A 21051-nucleotide genomic window follows, 5' to 3' on the forward strand; every position below is an offset into this window, starting at 1 on the left:
AGAGGAAAGTCCTAGACAGATCTAAGATTAGAATCCTTGCAGCTGGGGTTTTATAAAAGGAGGTACAAGATAAGGCCAAACAGGGAGGAGAGACCAGATCAGAAGGGTCCTACAGGATAAGGTAGGAGTTTGGGTTATAATAATACTAACCTTCTAGAGTGGTTGTAAGGATTACATGAAATCTCAAGTGGTAAACTCTAAGCAGCTGCTTAAAAAAATGTCAGCTTTTACTTTCATCAAGACAACTGTAGCAGAACTCATCATCTCTTGGGTCCAGTTGCTGACATCATAGAATTATTGAATTTCAGAAGTGAGAGATCATTTTTCCTAATTTTTCATATGGGTGAATTAAGGGCAAGGGACTTACAGAAGTCACACAGGAGTTAGTGGTGGAGGCTCTGGGCTTTCCAATTTCTGCCCGCTGTCCATTGAGTTCTTGAACTCAAGCCCATGCCATGATCTCTATGGGGAAATTCCTTGGCTTCTGTTTCTGCTGGGTGGTACTTCCTTCTAGGGGACAGTGTAGGGTCATGAAAAACCACAGACCTGGTGCTGCGAGTGTGTGGCTTCTCCCTGTGAGCCTCAGAGTGTCCACAGACATTAGTCCTTCTTCCCTCCTCCTGACACAGAGGCTGTGTCTGTCCTCCTGTATCCTCCTCGGCACAGAAGCTGGGCGTTGGCTGGGGAGCTGAGAGAAAGGACAGGCTATTGATCAGTAGGGACCTGACCCAGTATGGCCTTTTCAATATTCCATACTAAGAGAGTGGTGAGATTTGAGAGGAAGTCAAAGGGCTGGAGAATGTTCCTGTAATTGAACAGAGCAGTGCTGCCTTAGTTAATTTCGAGTGAGGAGGCTCACACAAAAAATGGGTCAGATTGACCAAGCCCCTGATGGGTTTGGAAGTTTTACTTATTCTGCACCCTTAACCCCAGCTGGGCTTTCCTCTGGGTATAGACACCCATAAATACACATAATAAACCCTATGAGAGAAGAGATTTTTCTAGCATTTGGGTTCTATTTTTCATATACAATTTATATAATGCATGATCATTGCTCCTGTTTATTGAGCACCTACTACAGGCTGGACAATCAGTTCAGCAGTGAACATGCATCCCCTCTTTTACTTCCATAATAACCCTAGGAAGTAGTTATTAATAGTCTTCACCTTATACAGACAAGTAAATCCACATTTAAAAGTTAGTCACATAGGACAGAGTTCTGATATGTCTGATTCCAAATAAACCTGCTGATTCCAGAGGGTACATGAACTCATGGGGTCCCCAAACACAAAAGTCTTAGAATAACTCATAGATGTGTGCTGCTGTGCTGATGTGTGCTGCTGTGCTGATGCAGGCTGTTCTTTATGGACTGAAAAATGTATGTGTTACAGTTTATAATGCCAAAAGAGTGTATAAATATACACAGTATCTTTAATTGATTTTTCTTCTCACCTTTGAGGCCCAAGAACATAACCCTTAGTCAGGAAAATCTCCCAGCTTGGTTTGCAGGAACTTGACTGTGGGGGCCCAATCCAATCCAATATGTTTGTCCCTCTCTTTCAGCCTCCTCCACGTTCCCGATGGTGCACTGGTTTTCTTTCCTGTCTGACCAACAAGCCTCTGGAGAGTGGCCACCATCTTACAGGCTCACTTTGTATTCTGTAAACTTTCAGTTGGAAAATAAACACACTGTCTCCCTGTCAAAGCTCTACCGTGCATGAGTATTTCTCAAGAGCCAGGGCGGATGGTAGAGACAGACCAAGCATTTCCAAGGAAACCAAAGGGGCATAATTGCTTCTTTCCAGGTAATGTGGATGCACTGGATGGGGTCGGCTGCGTCACAGTGGATCATTTTCTTGTTAGCGTCTGGCCAGAGTGATGTGAGTACCACGGGCTTCCTGAATGACGCTGCACAGGCCCATCTGCAAGTTACAAAGACCAAATTGAAAATAGATCATGGAGACACTGGTTGGATACTCTGCCTTCCCTTGAAAGATCCACGGTGGGTTTGTCCACTGAGACATACTATTGCTGGGACTTTTTTGTTTCTTTTCATTTTCTTCTTATCTTTTAAGATGACTTTTTTTTGTATTTCATTTTTACCCCAAGACAAAAGATTTTTCTCTTTTTTTCTCTCAGTGATTAAAATCTTTCCATCAACCAGGTGTTCCTAAGGGGGATACATGATGCAAGGTCTGGCAGGGTGGGGGTGTGAATAAATGTGCATTGATGGAGAAAGTAGTCACTGAGCATAGGCTGTCTGATGACCTCAAAATCAAGCCCCTGATTAATCATAATCTGAGTAGACAAAGAAATGGGATCACAGACACATGACGACAATGACTTCCATTAATTGCAATGATGCTGTTTTAGCCTCAGGACCTTGCACTTGCTGTGTTCTCCACCAGGAATGTGCTGCAATCTGCGCTTGGTGTCTGTCTCATCATTCCTTTCTCTACTTAAATGTCTCCTATTCTAGGAACCCATCCCTGATCATTCAAAAAGAATTTGCCTCTTTTACTCTCAAATCACCTTGCTTTATCTTCCTCATAGAATTAAAGCTCTCTGAAATTCCTATTTATTAATGACTTTATGGTCTATTTCTCATCTGTACAAAATAAGCTCTAGAGAGCAAGAACTTTGTCTTGTTCACTGTGTATTATCAGTGCCCAGAACAGTGCCTGACATATGCACTATCCTAAGTGCTTTATAATGATTGTGTCATTGATTGCTAAATGATAGCCTTTTGTTGAAATGATTACTGGAAGGTTAATTCAGTTGTTCAAAATCACACCACTGCTAGTTAGTGGCAGATAAACCATTTAAATTGAGGCTTGTTGGGTTTGAAGGTCCAGGCTTTTAACTGCTCTGCTAAACTGCCTCCCCTGGCATACAGCATTAATTTTGGAAGTGGTTTGGGCCCTTGTGTTGCCAGACTTCACTAGACTGTCAGCCCTGGAGAGCCAGAGACAGAGTCTGTTGCATCCACAGCACTCAGCACTGCTTGCCACGTGGTAGCCATTCAATAAATAGTAAATGCTCAAACAGTATTTGTAGATAGATGGACAGATGGGTGAGTGGGTGGGTGGTTGAGTGGATGGATGGGTAGATGAATGGATGAATGGAAGGGAGGAGGGAAGGAAGAAAAGAAGACAGAAAGGGAGGAAAGAAGGAAGGGTAGGTAGAGGGATAGATAAATTGCTGGATGGATGCATGGACTAGTAAATACATGGACAAATAGGTGGGTGTGTAGATAGGTGGGTAGATGAATAAGGAAACAGAGTCCCAGAGAGACTGGTGACTCACTTAATATCACACAGCATTAGCCTTTAGTCCATCAGTTCATGGGATCTTCTCTATAACCCTAGGAAATAAGTGCCATAATATCCCCTCATCCACGAGGATATTATTATCCATTTATGTCAATCACTCCATGTGATAAGTGTTATTTTTATCCCTACTTCTCAGAAGAGGAAAATAAAGCTCAGAGAGGTTAAGTAACTTGCCCTTGTCATCCTATAAGGAAGAGGCAAGGCTAGGATATAACCCTTTGTCACCACTGTACTAATTTTAACCGCATAAGAGCTGATGCTCTGTTTATCACATGGCAAAATATAAGGTGAATAGAATTGTAGGCACACATCATCTAATCAGCAGAGAAGCTAAAATTATCTCCCCAGGTGGCATTGGGTAGGAGGAAGCTCACCCTGACACCAGAATCTAGGCAGGATGTGCCCTATTAGACAGACCACAACATCACTGCCATGGAAACAGTAAAAGGTAAAAGGTAAACCAAGTGTGTGATATCGAGCAAGTTACTTTGCCTCCCTGGCCCTCAGTTTCCTCATCTGTAAAATGGCTATCAAAATTGTGATTGCAGATTTTCATCTGCAAACTGTTCTAGTCCCTTTCAGAATTCTATTTCTATTATGCTATTTCTTCTTCCAAAAATAGTCTTGATACTGCTCCTAAATAATCACTTTATGTTCCCAACATCACAATCTCAGATAATCAGGTCTGTGTCTCATTTCCTCAAGACTTTTCTCTGTGCCTTGTTTTAGCCAGCAAATGGAATGAGTAAATCACGGTCCATATGTTCAATGGGTTAATGGTTTACAGTGTCACTTCTTCCACATAAGACACCTGCATGCAAGCAATGATCTAGAAGTTCAATGTACTTACCAAAGTGAGTAACCCCATTGATGGACTTTTAGTGATGTGGTCCTTCTGGTAGTGATGAGAGGTTGAAGCTTCAGCAGGTAGCAACCAAATCATAGCACAGAGGCAGCCACCAAATTTCTGGGAAGTAGGCTGTGAAGGTGAAATGGGTTCTGGCTCTGTAGTCAGGGCTGCCCTTGAATCTGCCAAATCCCACCGCTTCCTGACTGAGTGACCTTGGCTGGGTTGGGACCCCCCATAAAAAATCAGATACTTATCTTTCAGATGGCAATAACCACACCTCGTTTTCAGGAAGATTATGAAATTGAAATGAGAGACCATGCTCGGTGTGGGACAGCACCTGGCAAACAGTGGATTCTTTACACAATAGTTTCCTTCTCAGTTGGGTTGTTTGGTTTTTTTCCTGTAAATTTGTTTAAGTTCCTTATAGATGCTGGATATTAGACTTTTGCAGATGCATAGTTTGTAAAATTTTTCTCCCATTCTGTAGGTTGTCTGACATTACTGGGTATATACCCAAAGGAATATAAATTGTTCTATTATAAAGACACATGCCCATGTATGTTCATTGCAGCACTATTCACAAGAGCAAAGACATGGAATCAACCTAAATGCTCATCAATGAATGAGCATATATACGGTACATATACACCATGGAATACTATGCAGTCATAAAAAAGAATGAGATCATGTTCTTTGCAAAAACATGAATGGAGCTGGAGACCATTATCCTTAGCACACTAATGCAGGAACAGAAAACCAAATATCACAAGTTCTCACTTATAGGTGGGAGCTAAATGATGAGAGCACACAGACACATAGAGGGGAACAACACACACAGAGGCCTACCAGAGGGTGGAAGGCAGGAGGAGGGAGAGGATCAGAAAAAAATTACTATTGAGTACCAGGCTTAATACCTGGTTGGTGAAATCATCTGTACAACAAACTCCCATGACACAAGTTTGCACACATAACAAACCTGCACAAGTACCCCTGAACCTAGGAATTAAAAATAGTTTCCTTGCCTCCAAGTATGGAGCTAAACTACCTCTTCGTTTTTCTCTCGCTCGCTTTCTTCCCTTTCCCCTCCTCCTCCATCTTCCTTGCTTCTTTAGGTTTCCATTGAACAAGTCTCACTGAGCACCCGCTGCATGCCTGCATTATACTATACAGAGCCTGAGCGTATAGCCACAAACAGGCAAGGTCATTCCACAGAGAGCTGGCAGCCTCATACAGTAAAGCATGGAGTGCTTCATCTTCTCCAAAGGAGAAATCAGCACTCCTGCATCCCTGCCTCAGCCACCTTCTTTATAAAAGCCAGTTGGGTTTACTGCCAGGAATGGAAACCTCTTGCAGCTGAAGATAGGATTTTATGGGGGGGCTCTCTGTCCCCCAAAGCCTGAGGCAGGTCTGGGCCTATAGTCAGTGGCCTGTAAAAGAGCATTGTTTGAGTGAGTAAATGGGGAAGCTCTGGGTGTGGAGCGTCTTCTGAAACCCTGGGCCAGAGTGCTTCTCCTTCCCTCCTCCATCCAGTGTTCACCTCCCCCACCCATTCTTTCTAGGGACTCCCGGCTCCACCACGCTGCTAAAGACATATTCCTCCCCCTGTTGCTGCCTGCAACCTTCTCTCCATCTGCTCCCTCTGCCTGTTCAGGCTGCAGTGTGTAGATAGTATGGCAAGGTAGGGTAGGGGGAGGAGGACAGCTTCTAAATTGGGTGAGAGGCCTGTAAAGCCTGACCGGTCTGCCAAGGCTACGCAGGGAGAGACAGTCAGTCTCCAGGACTGTGCATAAGCTTGTCCCCACCTAGCTCTCTGCCAATGTCTGTCCCCAAGTATCTGTTTATCTCCCTCATTGATTGTCCCTCACTACCTCTATTTGTGGAGAAAAGACTTTGCTTGAGAATCAGGCCTGGGCAAGAATGCTGCAGAGGTGGGCCTTGTAGTCCTGCTCAGATAGGGAAGCGGGTACAGGAAGAGGCAAGCGGCTGACCTGAGAGGAAGCCTCGCAGCGCTAGTGCCCTGCCGGCAGTGGGGTTATGGGAGACAGGGCTCAGATTAAAAAGTGGAGGTGGATCTTAATTTAGAGTTCGTGATTGGGCTTCAGAGGGGTCCAGACCCCCTCGTGTTAGATGCACGATTTTGTGGCTATGTGTAGTGTTCTAGTAGATTCACAGCTGTCACCAGATCCACAGAGTTACAGACTTTCTAGGTTATGGGGACTCACTTTGGAAGCAGTGAGGCCCTGGCGGGGAAGCAGGCTGGCTGGATCCCAGAGGGCTCTGGAAAGAACTGGAACTGGGATGTATCTGGAAGGCTGGGCAGGCAATGGAAAGCTCCGGGCTGCTCATAAGCTCGGTTTCCAGGGCTCCATCTCACCGTCTGGAAAATGGTCCGGGTGCTCTCCAGCCTGGCCTGGCCAGGCAGAGCTGCTGGGAGCGTCAGCAGGGAGAGAAAACGCTCGGCTCCCAGGACGCAAGGGGAATTGGCGTTAAACTTTGCAGGGCCGACGGGCCGGCGGCCAGAGGAGGCGGCTGGCACCCCCGGCGCCGCCGCGGCCCCTCCAGCTCACTGCCCGCTCGCCCGCCCCCTCCCTCCCTGCACTCGCTCGGCACAGACTCGGCCCCAGCCCCCTCCCTCCTCCCGCTCGCTCCACGCTCGTTCGCTCGCTCGCCGGCTCCTCCTCACTCGCCCGCCCGCGCCCGGCGCAGCTCGGCCAGAGCGACCGCGGGGCTGAGCGCGCGTCCGCCCAGGGGGCTCCGGAAGCTGCCCCGGCCCGCGGCCTCCTCCCTCGCTCCCGCTTCCCCTTTCTCGCTCACCGCCGCCCTCCTTCCCCAGCTCCCTCGCCGTCCGCCCGCCCCACAGCCAGCGGCTCCGCGCCCCCTGCAGCCACGATGCCCGCGGCCCGGCCGCCCGCCGCGGGACTCCGCGGGATCTCGCTGTTCCTCGCTCTGCTCCTGGGGAGCCCGGCGGCAGCGCTGGAGCGAGGTAAGCGCCCCGAGGGGCGGGGCGGGCAGGGGGCAAAGTTGCCGGGAGAGCGGGGCAGCCAGGGGTCGGGGCTGACCAGGGCGACTCAGGCACCACCCGCCGGGATGGGAAGCGGTGGTGGCTGTCCAAAATCGGGGCTAGGAACCGCACGTCCCCTTGGCCCGGGCTGATGGGAGTGTGGAGGCGGGGATGTGTTGAAGGACTCGGGCGCTTCCCTGCTTCGGCTGCGGGCTCCCTTTCGGTCTTCCCCGGCTGCGGGGCTGATTCTCCTTTGCAGCCAAAGAGGTTCTCCTTGGAGTGGGGTCGCCTCCAAACCCCAAATTCCCGGCGCTTCTCTGCAACCGCACCCGGGGCTAGGTGCCAGATAATTATCTTCCTCTCCGGGAGAGGACAGGAAGGGGGGTGAGAAGCTGACCCACCCTGCAACTGAGGACTAGACTCAAACAGTGCATTTGCCGCTCCCCCCGACACCACAGAAACCCTTGACTCCTTTGGTTCAGGCTACCCCGAGGGTCTGTGTTCCTGGATCGATCTCAGCCAAGCGTCAGGATACCGGACTTGGGTGTGGCTTTCGCTAGAGGCCGGTGGAGGGGGCTGAGGGCTCTGAGAACTTGGTAGGGGAGGGAGAAGAGATGTTAGTTAGCAGTTGGGAACCTGAACGGGCTCCCCTCTACTCTCTCCCCTACTGCCTAGCATCTCTGATCACTGTTAGGAATGGGGGGTGAGGGGTGTTAGTTTCATCTACCACGTGTTTGTTGAAGGGGAAGAGGGGCCCAAATTTAGCAGAGAATGACAGCTCCTCTTTCTCAGACCTGGAACCATACCCTCTCTCCACCCCGGTAAGGTACCCCAGGAAAAGTTATGGGTGGGGGAGAGGGCCAGATAGAGAGAGGGGTGCAACGCCTAACTCACCCAAAGCTAACCCTCAGAGCTTCGGGGGTTTTCTCAGGCACCTAGGAGACCCGAAAATCAATGGGAGGGTTAGTTGGCCACAGGACCCGGCCTTCTTGCAAGGTCCCAGAAATGCGCTCCTCACGTGTAAAAAAGCAGACAGCTGCAGGGTCTGCCCAGGCTGAAGACAGAGGGAGCGCAGGCACTATGCTTATCTGGGGCTCCGCCTCTGTCATTTGCACCGTCTTGACTCGGAGTTGGGGGACAGGCGGTGTTCTTCTCCGGGGAGTTCTGGACCCCCAGCGCGCGCACCTGCTTTCAGCACCAAAGGCCCTGGACAGCTCTCAGCTCCATGGGCCCTGGCTCTGGGTCCCTTTCCCTTCAACCCTTCCCGGTGGCCTGGAGTGCCCCCCTCAGCATAAATCAGGCATTTTATCCCCCATCTCCCCGTCTTTTTAAATGTAGAGCCCAGAGTGCAGAGCAAAGGAAATTGTTCATCACCTTTTGTTTAACAAAGCATATCATTGAAGAACCCCCACCCCTTTTTTATGGGGCAATAATGTCCACAATTTACACCAGGTCTGGACAGTTTCTCTGGGAAAGATAGGGAAAGAGATTTGGTTTAAACAAATCGTTTCCACCACAGCATGGCCTTTCTTAATTAGCTGTCTCTTTCTAACAATGGCTTGGTGGCCTTGAACTGAGTCCAGCTCTCCCTCCCCCACCCCCTTTTGAATCTGTGTTGTGACTAACACACATATAAAAAGAACCTGAATCTACCCAGCAGCTTACTGGATTTTCTAAAGCAGTTCTACCTCTGAGAACTCCACTCTCCAATACACCACCTTGCAGGGAAAAAAAAATTGTCTTAATGGCACGTATTGAATTGTCATCTAAGACAAGGATTTCCTATTCTGTTTCCTTCACGGGCTGCAAACACATTGTAAGAGCAGGGGGAGACATGTGTGTGTTTTAATTTTTAAGACATTTCATACTATTTTTCCAACTGCTCAACACCATGGCTAGCCAGCATATTTTTTAAATTGACTTCAGGTCACCACCAAATTAAAGTCAATTGATGTGCTACTTCAGAAAGCTCATTAATAAGTGTGTGGTTCTGACTCTGAGTCATAAGGAGGGAGTGATACTGGCCAATGAGCATTGCCGAGTCTGATGGTGCATTTGGAGACAATTGACCTTCCACAATAAATTCTATTTTTAATGTAGAGCCCAACATCCACTAATGTCAGATGGAGAACCATTCACCTAACTCGTTGTTGCGAACTAGTTCTTCTGCTTGCGGTGAAGTGAGGGGATTTGTAAATACTCAAAAGGGACTTGTTGCTACATTCTGATGCAGGTCACGTGGTTCTCTGGGCCATTTCGCTGTAAGGCATGAATAAGTATAAAGTATAACTTGTTTTTGAAGAGCCTCCTTATTGTCTCAGATATGCACATGGGGAATAATTGTAACTACATGCAAAGACTGCAAAGCCTAAGAATAATTTCTTTTCTTTTTCTCTTGAATTAATAAGGCAAATTCAGTATTGCTCAATAAGGCTCAAATTTGCTGCTTCCCCAGTCTCTAACGTGTGTTGTGGTTAGATTCACTTAAAGACTATTTTCATTATGGATTGGCATTATTTTCCATAGAGTTTTGCCCGTTCCTGCCAGGGGCCACCGTATCTAAGCTTGAGGGATTCATCTTGTGTTCATATGGCTCAGTTAGGTATTAAGAAAATAATGTTACATTCCTTTCCTTCCCCTTCCAGGGCAAAAGGATATTTTCTGATCAGAGTGGCTTGTTTTCTTATTTTTGCTTACAAGTCCATTCCTGCAAGCTGTTCAAATGAGCTCGATTTACTGGCCCTCCTATTCTGTCCAGAGACAATTTATCCAATATACCTACTGTGCAGACCTCCACTAGGGGCGCTCCAAGATCTAGCTGGCGACTAAGGGCAGAAGAGAGGGGAATTCTGACCTGTGAACAACCAGGTGTGTGCAACACCAAAGGTCAGCAGAATGGAGCTCCTCTCAGCCTGGAGGCCTTGCTATCATCTCTCCCCTCCCTCTTTCTGATTACTACATTTTATTACTGTTTCTCAGAGAAAAATTATTGGTCACCCTTGACACACGCAGTGAAAAAGAGAAAGAAAAGGTAAAAAGAAGCCCGGAGAATGCTCCAAGGAAAATGTCAATCCAACTGCCCTTTTTGTATTTTTGCAGTTTTCTTCATGAAGCCAAATTGCAAAACATCCAAGAGGCTGTGGAAAGGCTGTTCTGGGGAGTTTGACTGAACTGGGCACTGGAATTAGATTTATAAAGTCCAGGAAAAGAAGTGCAGCTCCATAATTAGAGTGACCTGGGTCCAGAGGCCAGCTCCATTGTCTATTAACACATGGCCTTCAGCAGAACTATTTTATCTGAACTCCCATTTCACCATCTGAGGAATGGGGGCAGGGCAAGGAGGACTGATGATACCAGCCTGGAAGGATGGCTGCAGGGATTACATAATGCATGTAAAAGCAGCTGGCACGGAGTAGGTGCTCAAGTAATGTTTATTTCTTTCTTTCCCTGCTTTCCAAAGGGCAAACTGCTCCTATTAGTAGACACCAAGAAAACAAATCTCTGCGATTGGCATGAAGCAGATGTTGGTGTAAATATTGGGATAATTCAGGCTAAAGTAGAAAGGGGTTGAAGGGCATAGTGAGTAACTCCAGTTACCTGTATTCTCACCTTTGGCAGATGAGAATTTGACCTTGCCTGGTGCAGACACCCTTCCCTTCCAAACTCTCATGCTGTTTCTTTTTGAACCTAAATATTACCATCAGGAATCAGAGTTCATGGTACTGGAGATCGAGCGGATGCAGGAGAGCAGGTTAATGGTTGGGAAGAAGACATAAGAAGCAAGTCTTCTGGAAAAAGATATTTGCCCTTTCATTCATTCATTTGAATTTACCGAGCACTTCCTATGTGTCTTAGTTCAACCTGCTATAACAAAAATGCCTTAGATAGGGTGGCTTAAACAACAGAAATTTATTTCTCACATTTCTGGAGGCTGGGAAGTCCAAGCTCAGGGCGCCAACAGACTCAGTATCTGGTGAGTGTCTGTCATCTCTCTTTCTGCTTTGCAGACAGCCACTTTCTAGCTGAATTCTCATATGGCCAAGAGGGACAGAGAGCCCGGGTCTCCTCATCTTAGAAATGAACTAATCTTTATCATGGGGGCCCTATCTTTATGATTTCATTTTAACCTAATTAATTCCCAAAGGCTCCACCTCCAAATGTCATTACATTGGTGATAAGGCCATCAACGTATTGATTTAGGGGGGACACAGACATTTGATCTATAGCACTACGCATGCGGTAGACCTTGTTTTGGGTGCTGGAGTACTATAATATGATAAGGCTCCTGCCCCAGTAATGGCAGCCTAGCAAGAGACATCTGCAGGTAAACTACTACCATCCGTGCCATGTGGTAAGTTCTTTGGTGGGGGGATATCAGACATCTATGGGACCTCACGTGGATGTGTTTAATTCTCACCAGGGGTGGTCAGTGAAGGCTTCCTGGAGCACGTAGCATTTGAACTGGCCCTGAAGGGGATAGGACAGGTACCAGCAGCCAGAGGAGAAATTTCTACAGTAGGATAGGGAAAATCCTGAAGGCTTCACTCTCAGAACACATCACACCCCCGCGGAATTGGAGAGAGGAAACAGAGGAGCGAGTGGGAGGAGAAAGTAGGCAGGTGCACATGCTCACGCTCAAAAAAAAGATAATCTGTCGGACCTGCCTGTCCTCCCTGCTCTCCCCTGAACTTCACGGGCTGGGTAGACGAGAGCTGGAACAAAGGACTTTGAGCCGCGGTGTTCGCTGTTGTCCACTAGAGGTTGTGATGACACCGAAGGAATCTTCTCAGAAGGGAGCGAGGCCCAGCTGCTGAGCACAGACAGCATCACACAACCCTGGGTAAACACTGCTTTAGTGGATTTGCATGTTTGCATAATCCTCTGGTTACTGTAGTTCCTTAGAAGCATCCCTTTGGTGGCTGTGACAAGAGGGAGCAGGGCAGGGAATAGGACTGCTTTGAGGAAAGGGTAAAAGTATGGTGAGTTGGGAGGAGGTCAGTGGACGCACGAGATATAATTTACTAGAACATGGCAAGGACTGAGTTTAAGCAATGCAAACAGCATTTATTGAGTGTTGATTTTGTGCCAAGCCTTATAATAAGTGCTTTATATAGATATGTGCAGAGAATTCTCACAATAGCCCATGAGAGAGATGCAGTTGTTATCTGCATTGTATGGACTGGGGAAACTGAGGTACTGAGAGGTTAAGCAATGCCTAACATCACAAAGGGATTGAAGTCCAGCCTCAGATCCAGGCTGGTGTCAGAATCATGACATCAAGTCCCACTACTACCTTTTATATCCTGCATTCCCCAAGACCACATGCAGATTCTGATGGTTCATAGGAAGGGATGGTGTGTGTTTGCCAGATGCGCATGGGATGTGTACTCAATGCCTAACACAGTCCCTGGCACACATAGCAAGCATTTAAGTAAAGCTGGTCAAATTGAAGTGAGTCATAAGGTAAAACAGGTTACAATTTTATTTATAGGCAACTAATTCACAATCATTATAGTTACTGAGCATTTACTATATCTCAGGCACTTACGTTGGTTATTTTAATTAATTTTAACAATATCATTTCATTTTATAGATGAGGAAACCAAGGCTTAGAGAAGCTGAGTTATGCATAGGTAAGGTTTAAATCCTTGGTGCCTTCCAAGCTGGGTCCTTCTGTATTTCTAAATGAAATGTGTGAGAAAGACCGTTTCACCATTAATGTGCAGATAGTCTGGATGGGTAAGTGCACCAAACTCCAAACACTGACAGGACAGAAACCAAAACCAACCCTCAGTAGTTCCCAAAAAAGATGAACATAGGGATTATTCTTTCCAGTTGAGGAAAGGAGAAGACCTCGTAAAAGAGAGTGAGCAGTCCAGCTGGTTCATTGGTTGACACCGAGATTATGTGACTGCTTGCAATTTCTCAAGTTTCCAGGTCACCCAACCATTAATGGAGAACTCACATTGTATAAAATTGGTTTCTGTAAGCCCCTAAATTCAGGACCTAACCTAAACCATTTCCTATCTATGAGTCTCAATTTTTCCTTCTGTAAAATGGATCACAATAATCACTACCACATTCATCAAGCTGTCCTTACAGGGCTGGGATGGGACAAGAGAGTTAAGATGCTTTGCACATACCAAGAAATCAGTCCTTGAGGAAGTAAGTGCTGGCATGGAAGGCTGAAGACCTCAAACACCCCCATGTGTTTCTTCCTGGGCTGGTTATAGCCAGCATTATAGCAAATATAACACTGCTGTTTGCCATTGATTGTGGACCTACTCTGTGCCAGGGGGCTGTCTTTGTGCTTTTCCTGTATTCACGTATTTGATCCTCATGTGTTCCTATCAGGTGGTATGATAAACTAGATTTTACAGATAAGGCAACTGGGTCAGAACGGTACAAGCACTTGCTCAGGGTCTCATGGACAATGAGCGGTGGAGTCAGGATTCAACCCCAGAACTTTTGATTCCAAAGCCCACGCTTGTTCTAAATACTGGGGCATGAAGATGTGGGTATCACATAGCACAGAGCAAAATGGAAATGGAGAGCTGATGCAAGCCTGGAGATCAAGGTGGTTTGACAGGACTCCAAGAGGAGAGATGCTTTCTCATCCAGTGGCAAATGCCAGGTGTCCCAAGTCAGCTTTCTGAGACAGAAAACAGTTTATCCCAGCCTCTTTCATACCTACTTTGATGGCTTGTGCGTGAGCCTTATTCTCATCTTACTCATGCTATTCCTGCAGCCTGGACTGTCATCCTAGAGGAGCGCATGGCTGGTTGTGTAGAGAGGACTAAATCAAGTTCCCAACTGGCTGATTTTAACAGTATGATCTTGAGCTATTTACTTTAGTTCTCTAGGCCTGTTTTGGCCTGATATATAAAATGAGAGGATTAGATTTACATTACAAGATTGTTAAGACTCGTCAATATATGTGCATATTCATAGCTCATTGCAAGCACTCAATAAAAATTTGCCATTATTGCTCTACTATTAACCTGGTAAACTTCTATTCATCCTTCAGAACCCAGTCCTAATTCTCCTTTTCTGTGAAGTCTTCTCTTGCTTCTCTCCTGTCTATGCCAATTATGAATGATCCTCTTGACCCCTTATCACATTTTATCCCTCTACTATGGGTAATTCATACACTGATAATGCCTGAGTTGCCAATTTACATAACTCCCTCCCCCTAAACAATGAACTCTTAGAAAACCTCAACTGAATCTTACTCATTCATATGCCCCTTAGCCTGTATCTAATCAGGTATAAATTCTCAACCCATTATGTTAAATGACTTTTCCTCTTAATCTTAGTTTTGGGGAGGTGAAGTTAGAGTCCTGACATCTGAATTTAATTCCTGACTCTCCTATCCTGTGTGGTCTTAGGCAGCCTGTATAAACCTTGATTTTTTATCTGAAAAATGGGAATAATAATAGTGTCCAACCTCATAGGATTGCTGTAGAGGAAAACCAATGAGATAATAGATGTGGAATCACTAAGTAACTCTACAAAAAAGGAGGAAGAGAAAGAAAAATTAAAAAGTGGGAGGAGAGAAATACACTTTGTAAAGAGAAAAGAAAAAACCTTTGTGCAAACACAAAACCACAAGATAGGCCATTCATCGGGTCCTCACTAAAGCCATCTTTCTTTCCAAAGGAAATATTGGATGCAATTGTTTGCCCTGTGCCTAAGCTCATTTCAAAGCAGAAACCTTCTGGACATCCTACTGCTTATTGTTGAATCTGCCTTCTCTTAGGTCTCTGGCAGCTGCAAAAACAGCAAATGCCCAGCTGAAAACTGGGACAGTATAGCAAAGTGAATAAAAACCCAGGCTCTAGAGTCAGAGCAGCCTGGGTTTCAGTCTGTTGCTTCTTATTAGATGTGTATCCTTAGTCAAGCCACTTTGTCACCTTGAGCTGGCACCGGGCCTTGCATAGGAGTGAGGGTCTATGATCTGCCCACTTCTCAGGGATAATATGATATGGGAGAGAGGTTGTATAGTTAGAGTAGGCCTCCTTGGTGTCTGTAATATTAATCAGATTCTAGCAGTTATTTGGGATTCTTATCTGCCTCAATCCTCTCCCTGATATTTTCATTTTATTGAGGAAAGAGACCCAGAGACAAGAAAGGGCTTACTCAAAGTCCCAACTGTGAGTGGCAGAGCCAGGACTTGAACCCCTCACTCATGTCTTCTGACTCCCATGCTAAAGTGACTTCCACCTACTTTCAAGAAAAATGGAATCCCTATCCCTCTCAAGTTTATGTCCTGAGACCCAAGGAGTGTGGCAATGGAAGTTTTAAGGGTATCTGTTTTCAGTAAACCACTGGCGTCTATTACCCACATGGGACATTTACATTATGTGGCCATGGAAGACTGACTGCATGAAAGAGGCTTTGGTAGAAGTGGAAATCAAGCCATAGCTCCCTCCTCTGCTGACTTGGCACTTGAATCTTCAAGGCACCAGCAGATAAGCTTGCACCGGGGAATGGTGCCATCCAAGCATCTGGCTTGAGTCAAGCAAGCAAGAGTTAAATGAAGAGGCTCAAGGAGACCCAAGGCCCAGGCTAGGTATCCCTCCTAGGCTTCCTCACTCTCACCATGGGTCATGGATAGTGGCTGATTGAGAAACCCACTGGGGATCTGGGATGTGGAGAGCAGGGAAGGATTGAGTGAGGCATAGCTAATGTAGTTGGTGCCAGCCCGGAGCAAGTAGTAGGGACTGGTGATGTTTTGGGGCTGGAGATTAGAACAAGGTAGGTGGATACAGTATAGCACCTGGGGTCTGGAGCTCAGGACAAGTCTTAGTGGGTATAAGCCTCTGGGTGTCAGTTTCCTTGTCTGGTCTCACCTATTCCCAGTTTAGCTTAGTGTCATAAATTGGTGAGTTCACATTGCCAAAATGGAATGGGCTCTTCAAAGCCGTACACCATAATAAAAAAGACACAGACCCTGGAGTCCAAGAGATATGGGTTCAAACCTAATGCTGTGATCTTGAACAAGTCACTTAACTCTGAGATGATGGGAGTGGGTGGTAGTGATGAGGATGAAGAGGGGAATTATGAGTTGCTGTTGTTACTGATGGACCGAGCTGATTCTCAGGTCAGCGATGGCTTCCAAGAGAGGAAATAGTATATTCTAATGTGATTTTTGTGGTATAGTGCTATGGTTGGAATATTTATGTCCCCTCCCCCGACACCAATGTATAGGTTGAAATCCAACCCCTCTGCTGATGGTATTAGCAGTGGGGCTTTGGGGAATTGATTAGGTCATGAAAGTAGAGGTCCCATGAATGCAATAGGTGCTCTTAAAAAAAGAGGCTTGAGGCCAGGTGTGGAGACTCGTGCCTGTAATCCCAGCAGTTGGGAGGCTGAGGCAGGAGGATCACTTGAGGCCAGGAGCTCTAGACCAGCCTGGGCAACATGGCAAAACCCCATCTGTACAAAAAATTCTAAAAATTAGCCAGGTGTGGTGGCATATGCCTGTAGTCCCAGCTACTCAAGAGGCTGAGATGGGGGGATCCACTGCAGCCCAGGAGTCCAAGGCTGCAGTGAGCTATGACTGCACCACTGCACTCTAGCCTGAGTGACAGAGCAAGACCTTGTATTTAAAAAACAACAAATGGAGAGACACACCTTACCCCTTTCACCATGAGAGGTAGAAATGTTGAAACAAGAAGCTGTGATGTATAAGAAACAGGCTCTCACCAGACCCTGAATCTGCCAGCACATTGATCTTGGACTTCCCAGTCTCCAGAACTGTGAGGAATAATGTCCAGTTGCTTATAAGCTACCCAGTTTATGGTATTTTGTTGTAGAAGCCAAAAAGGGTCTAAGGCATTTAGAACAAAGACTCATTCAGGATAGCTGAAGAATAAGAAGGTTTGCTCTAAGGACACTGCAAATATTGAGCCAAGAACATTCCAGGACTCTCTCCACTTCTCTCTTGCATGCATCTGCTTCTCCCCACGCATCTGTTCATTCTGGCTTCCTCTCTATTGCCTAACTCCTCTGCTCACTCACCATAGATCTCTCATCACCTCCACTTACCCATTCGCTATTATGGCTTCTCCAGCATAATCACCACATGTGCACTCTCTAATATGGTAGCCATGAACCACATGTAGATATTTAAATTTAAATTAATTAAGATCAGATTGAATTAAAAATTGAGTTCCTCAGTCCTACTAGCGACGTTTCAAGTGCCCAGTAGCTATGTGTGGCTCATGGCCGCCATATTGGACAGCATGGAGAGAGCACAAATGATTTCTGCCCAGTCCTTTGTACTGGGCAACTGGGCAATAGGTTGGTTCTTCATACTTAATCCAGTCATCTCTAACTGGTATGGGAAGCATGCCATGTGACACAAAACCATACCTTGGGATACAGCAATCGCCACTGATGGTGTCTCACACACTTTCACTGCTGGCCTTGATAGCTGCTTCTCAATTCTTCTCATTTTTAGGATGTGGCTCTGCAACCCTTTTGCCAGTTAAGACACATATTCATCAAGATGTGGCCTGTCTGATAATCACATCTGAGAAAACTGGGAAGAATCCTATCATCATTGTAACTATCTGTTGACTTGCCTCCCTCCGTGCTGTACAATGAAATTTTCGGGGTTAGGAGTTGACTTTTATTATCTCTCTATTCTTAGCTATTCAGTTGAATAAATGAGTGAATGGATGAATCAATGAATGAATGATATGCAGTCTTCAGCTATGACTCAAAAGTGTTTGGACATAGAACACAAAAGTCTTTGCAAAAAATGTGCAGTCTTCACATTATTTGGGTAAATGACTTAGGAAAAAATAATTTAGGGTAGGAGTTGTGGGTGATAGAGAGCTAGAAAAGAGGAGCCTCATAAACTGGTGTATTTAGACATTTAAAAGTGATCCAGGCATTGAAAATCAGGTTGGAGTGGAAAATGAAGAGAAGCCTCAAGGTGGGGTCCCAGGAGCTCTCCCCTTTTCCCATGAGAGATTCATCTGGAATGATGACAGTGGATTTAAGAGCAATAAGGGAGGTTGGTAGGAACACAGAATGTGGCTCCATGCATGGTTTTGGTAACCATTTTTCTACAAAGTTTTAATATTATGGAAACAGGGAGAGATGTTTAGAACAATGTACTCAGAGTGAGCATTCTGAATGGGGGACTCAGCACAGGATTAGGACTGAGGTAGGACTGACTGTGGATCCCCACTCTGCCAATTCTGTGTTGTGTCATGCTGGGGCAAGTCACTGAATCTCCTCAAGCCTCAGTTTCCGTCTGCAAAATGAGAATAGAATTCTTCCCTTGCCCCTCTCTGCAGGGTGGATAGAGAGAATGCAATGCATGTCACTACTATCCTGCACAACTCCAGAGGGAGCTATTTATACTGCAGTGTATGTGAATGGTACCCCTGGAATTAAGCAGTATACAACCTATGCTGCCATATGTGGCAGCCCTGAATATGGAAGTATGCCACCAAACTATGAATCAATTTGCAGAGGAAGAAGGACAGAGCTCCCAAGACTTTTCATTCCCTAAGGACTTCTGATCAGGCCTCCACCTTCTATGCCCCCTTTTAAAGCAGGTTTAACAGAGTGGAAAGCTAACTTGGGGCCAACCACCTTGGAAATTAATGTAAAATATGTGGAATCAAGCCTAGTTTTCCAGGGCTTCAGGAAAGGAAATTTGCATAATTTATGGCATAAGTAAAAAATGATATGCCAGGTTAATTTGCATACTTTAACTTCAGTTGGGGTTAAAAACAAAGTTTTTGTTGTTGTTGCTATTTGTAGTTGTGGCTTTTAAAGAAAGCCTCTCTTGTTAATCCGACTGTGTAAGCTTGAGTAAATTACTTAACCTCTCTAGGCCTCGATTTCCTCAACTGTGAAATGAAAATGATAAATGGACTTACATCCTGGGATTGTGGTGAGGAGTTATGAGGTGACTCTGTAAAACTTGTAGAATAGTGGCTGGTACGTAGCAGAAGTTCAATAATTATACAGTATATGTAATATATAATAACATATTATATCATTATCATTAAGTATGCAATGTATCTTGTCCACTTGATATTACAAGAAATTCTAAAAAATGCATATCATTGTGTACCCACATGAAGTTATTTTGAGCTCAGGACCTAGAATTGTGCTAGAACACAGCAAGAGCTCAGTCGTGAGACGCATGGCTGCCCTACAATGAATGCATTATTATCATTATTAATCACTGCCCCATAGGTGCATGTGTTTGAAAGCCTTTCTCCCCTCTAGACTGAGGTCCCTCCAAGGCAGGCACTGTTTTATCTCCCTCCCAATCCCCACCTCTCAACACTACATCTCCCAGATAGTAGAAACTCAATAAGTGCAGACATGTCGAATGAATAAATGCTGAAGTGTTATTGTTCTTAATTAGTATGCAAGAAATGATTCTTATTAGCATGCATATGAATGAATGGCTGTCTTCCTTGCAGACTAGAAACTCCTCACGTCTAGGTCACCAATATTTGGCTCAGTGCTTGGCGTATCAGATAGTCAGCAGGTGCTCATTTGGTGTATGATGGTGCTTAAGACCTCAGAATTTAAGGTCCAAGGCCTGACTCTGCATCCCAGCTTTATCATTTACTGGCTGCATAACTTTGGCAAGATATTTGTGCTTTATGGAAATAGCATGTGCAAGGAAAATAACTAACTGTACCTTTTTCATTGAGTTGATGTGAGACAAAAATCAGGAATTTTTGATCAAGAGCTTAGCACAGTCCCTGACACACAAATTAGGTACCCAATATAGATACTACTGTGAATAAATGAATGCATGGCCTTTCCCAAGTGTCTTGATACAGGAAAGGGGCCCTGGTGTATAATAACCAGCTAGAACAGAATTTACAATTTTATGATCCCCATAGAGAAAACATTCTGTGGGAATTCAACGAGGAGCATTGACTTTACAACAACCACATCTATGCACACCTTCCCAATTTAAGGTATGTTATTATCTCATTTGATAAAATGGAAGTTCCAAGCAGAAGGCAGGGGTCCAAGTGAGTAAATCCATCATTCTCTGGCTGTTGTTTTATAATCAAATTTTATCTCAGATCAGCCATAAAACCCTAGAGGAGGCACCACATGGGCGTGGCCTGTCTGCCGGGAGCCTTTCCATCTGTGAATGAGTGACGTCAGGAGCAACTTCTTAGCAAGGGGCTTCCAGACAACAGTGCTTGTGTCTCCACCAGACTCCTTCCCTGTTTCTAAAGAAAGCAGACCCCTGGGAAGGCTGAGAAGGAAACAAACTCCTATAATGCACTAGAATCCTTATTAATGGCTTCATTTACAGAATCTTGCTTAATTATTAGCAGAACCTTCAAAGGTGCCTTACAGCCATTTGATTATACATAAAGAAGCTGAGGTCAGATGGCTAAGCAGTGCTGGAGTTGTGACTCTTTTATTCTTTCATCCAAGACCTACTTTCTCTTTATTTCAGACATTCTACTCTGTACCAATCACTTGATAAGTACTAGGGATACAGAGAGAAACAAAACATATCCTTGCCCTCAAGAACTTATCTAACCATTCTTCAAACTCAGGTAGGACCAAGTTCTTTTCTTCTGTCTTCTCCTCACTTCTACGTTGTCCTGATGACTTCCGGGCAGGGGGCAACTTTCTCCAAGGGACCAGGGTTGGGAGCCATGAATTTCTGGGACCACTCCCTATAGCCCTAGTTGCTATTGAAACAAAGCAAGCTCGTTTGATCTTCCTTAACTTCAACAAGAAAAAAAAATCTAGTTGATGTTCCTTTAATGGGTGAAATAAATGTGTCACTTTAAGAGAACCTCCAATAACCATCCCAGACTTCACAGAGGCAGAGGAGAACTCCAACGGGGCCT

General features: G+C 45.4%; 1 protein-coding gene and 2 long non-coding RNA genes across 11 annotated transcripts in view, besides 2 other annotated features; 2 read left to right on the forward strand and 1 right to left on the reverse strand.

Annotated features, from left to right (window-relative positions):
- LINC02559 (long intergenic non-protein coding RNA 2559) overlaps positions 1 to 1705 on the forward strand; it is a 12153-nt gene extending 10448 nt beyond the window's left edge. For both annotated transcript variants that reach the window (XR_938105.2, XR_938103.2), the window contains exon 3: positions 1564 to 1705. This is a non-coding gene — a long non-coding RNA (long intergenic non-protein coding RNA 2559). The remainder of the gene's footprint in view (positions 1 to 1563) is intronic.
- The window catches only part of LOC105372971 (uncharacterized), a 7332-nt gene extending 696 nt beyond the window's left edge, over positions 1 to 6636 (reverse strand). Inside the window, exons 1-4 of one of the 3 annotated variants that reach the window (NR_188585.1) lie at positions 6405 to 6636; positions 4183 to 4311; positions 1453 to 1922; positions 547 to 688 (exon numbers count right to left, since the gene is read on the reverse strand). This is a non-coding gene — a long non-coding RNA (uncharacterized LOC105372971). Of the gene's footprint in view, positions 1 to 150; positions 689 to 1452; positions 1923 to 4182; positions 4332 to 6050; positions 6182 to 6404 lie in introns of those variants that run through there. The other 2 variants (NR_188586.1, NR_188587.1) reach the window with 2 other exon arrangements.
- Positions 6864 to 21051, forward strand: part of SEZ6L (seizure related 6 homolog like) — a 214135-nt gene continuing 199947 nt past the window's right edge. For all 6 annotated transcript variants that reach the window (NM_021115.5, NM_001184773.2, NM_001184774.2 and 3 more), the window contains exon 1: positions 6864 to 7165. In NM_021115.5, the coding sequence (NP_066938.2) occupies positions 7072 to 7165 (94 nt within the window). In that variant the 5' untranslated portion in view covers positions 6864 to 7071. The remainder of the gene's footprint in view (positions 7166 to 21051) is intronic.
- Positions 6887 to 7016: a silencer, noted in NCBI's record as "silent region_13565". NCBI's record gives its function as "represses an Ori minimal core promoter by ATAC-STARR-seq in GM12878 lymphoblastoid cells {active_cell/tissue: GM12878}" and the evidence as "EXISTENCE:reporter gene assay evidence [ECO:0000049][PMID:35858748]".
- Positions 7843 to 8782: an enhancer, noted in NCBI's record as "H3K4me1 hESC enhancer chr22:26566407-26567346 (GRCh37/hg19 assembly coordinates)". NCBI's record gives its function as "activates a minimal SCP1, AML or CMV promoter by ChIP-STARR-seq in naive H9 embryonic stem cells {active_cell/tissue: H9 hESC(naive)}" and the evidence as "EXISTENCE:reporter gene assay evidence [ECO:0000049][PMID:30033119]".

Source organism: Homo sapiens, chromosome 22 (assembly GCF_000001405.40).
Source record: "Homo sapiens chromosome 22, GRCh38.p14 Primary Assembly".
Classification (NCBI taxonomy): domain Eukaryota; kingdom Metazoa; phylum Chordata; class Mammalia; order Primates; family Hominidae; genus Homo; species Homo sapiens.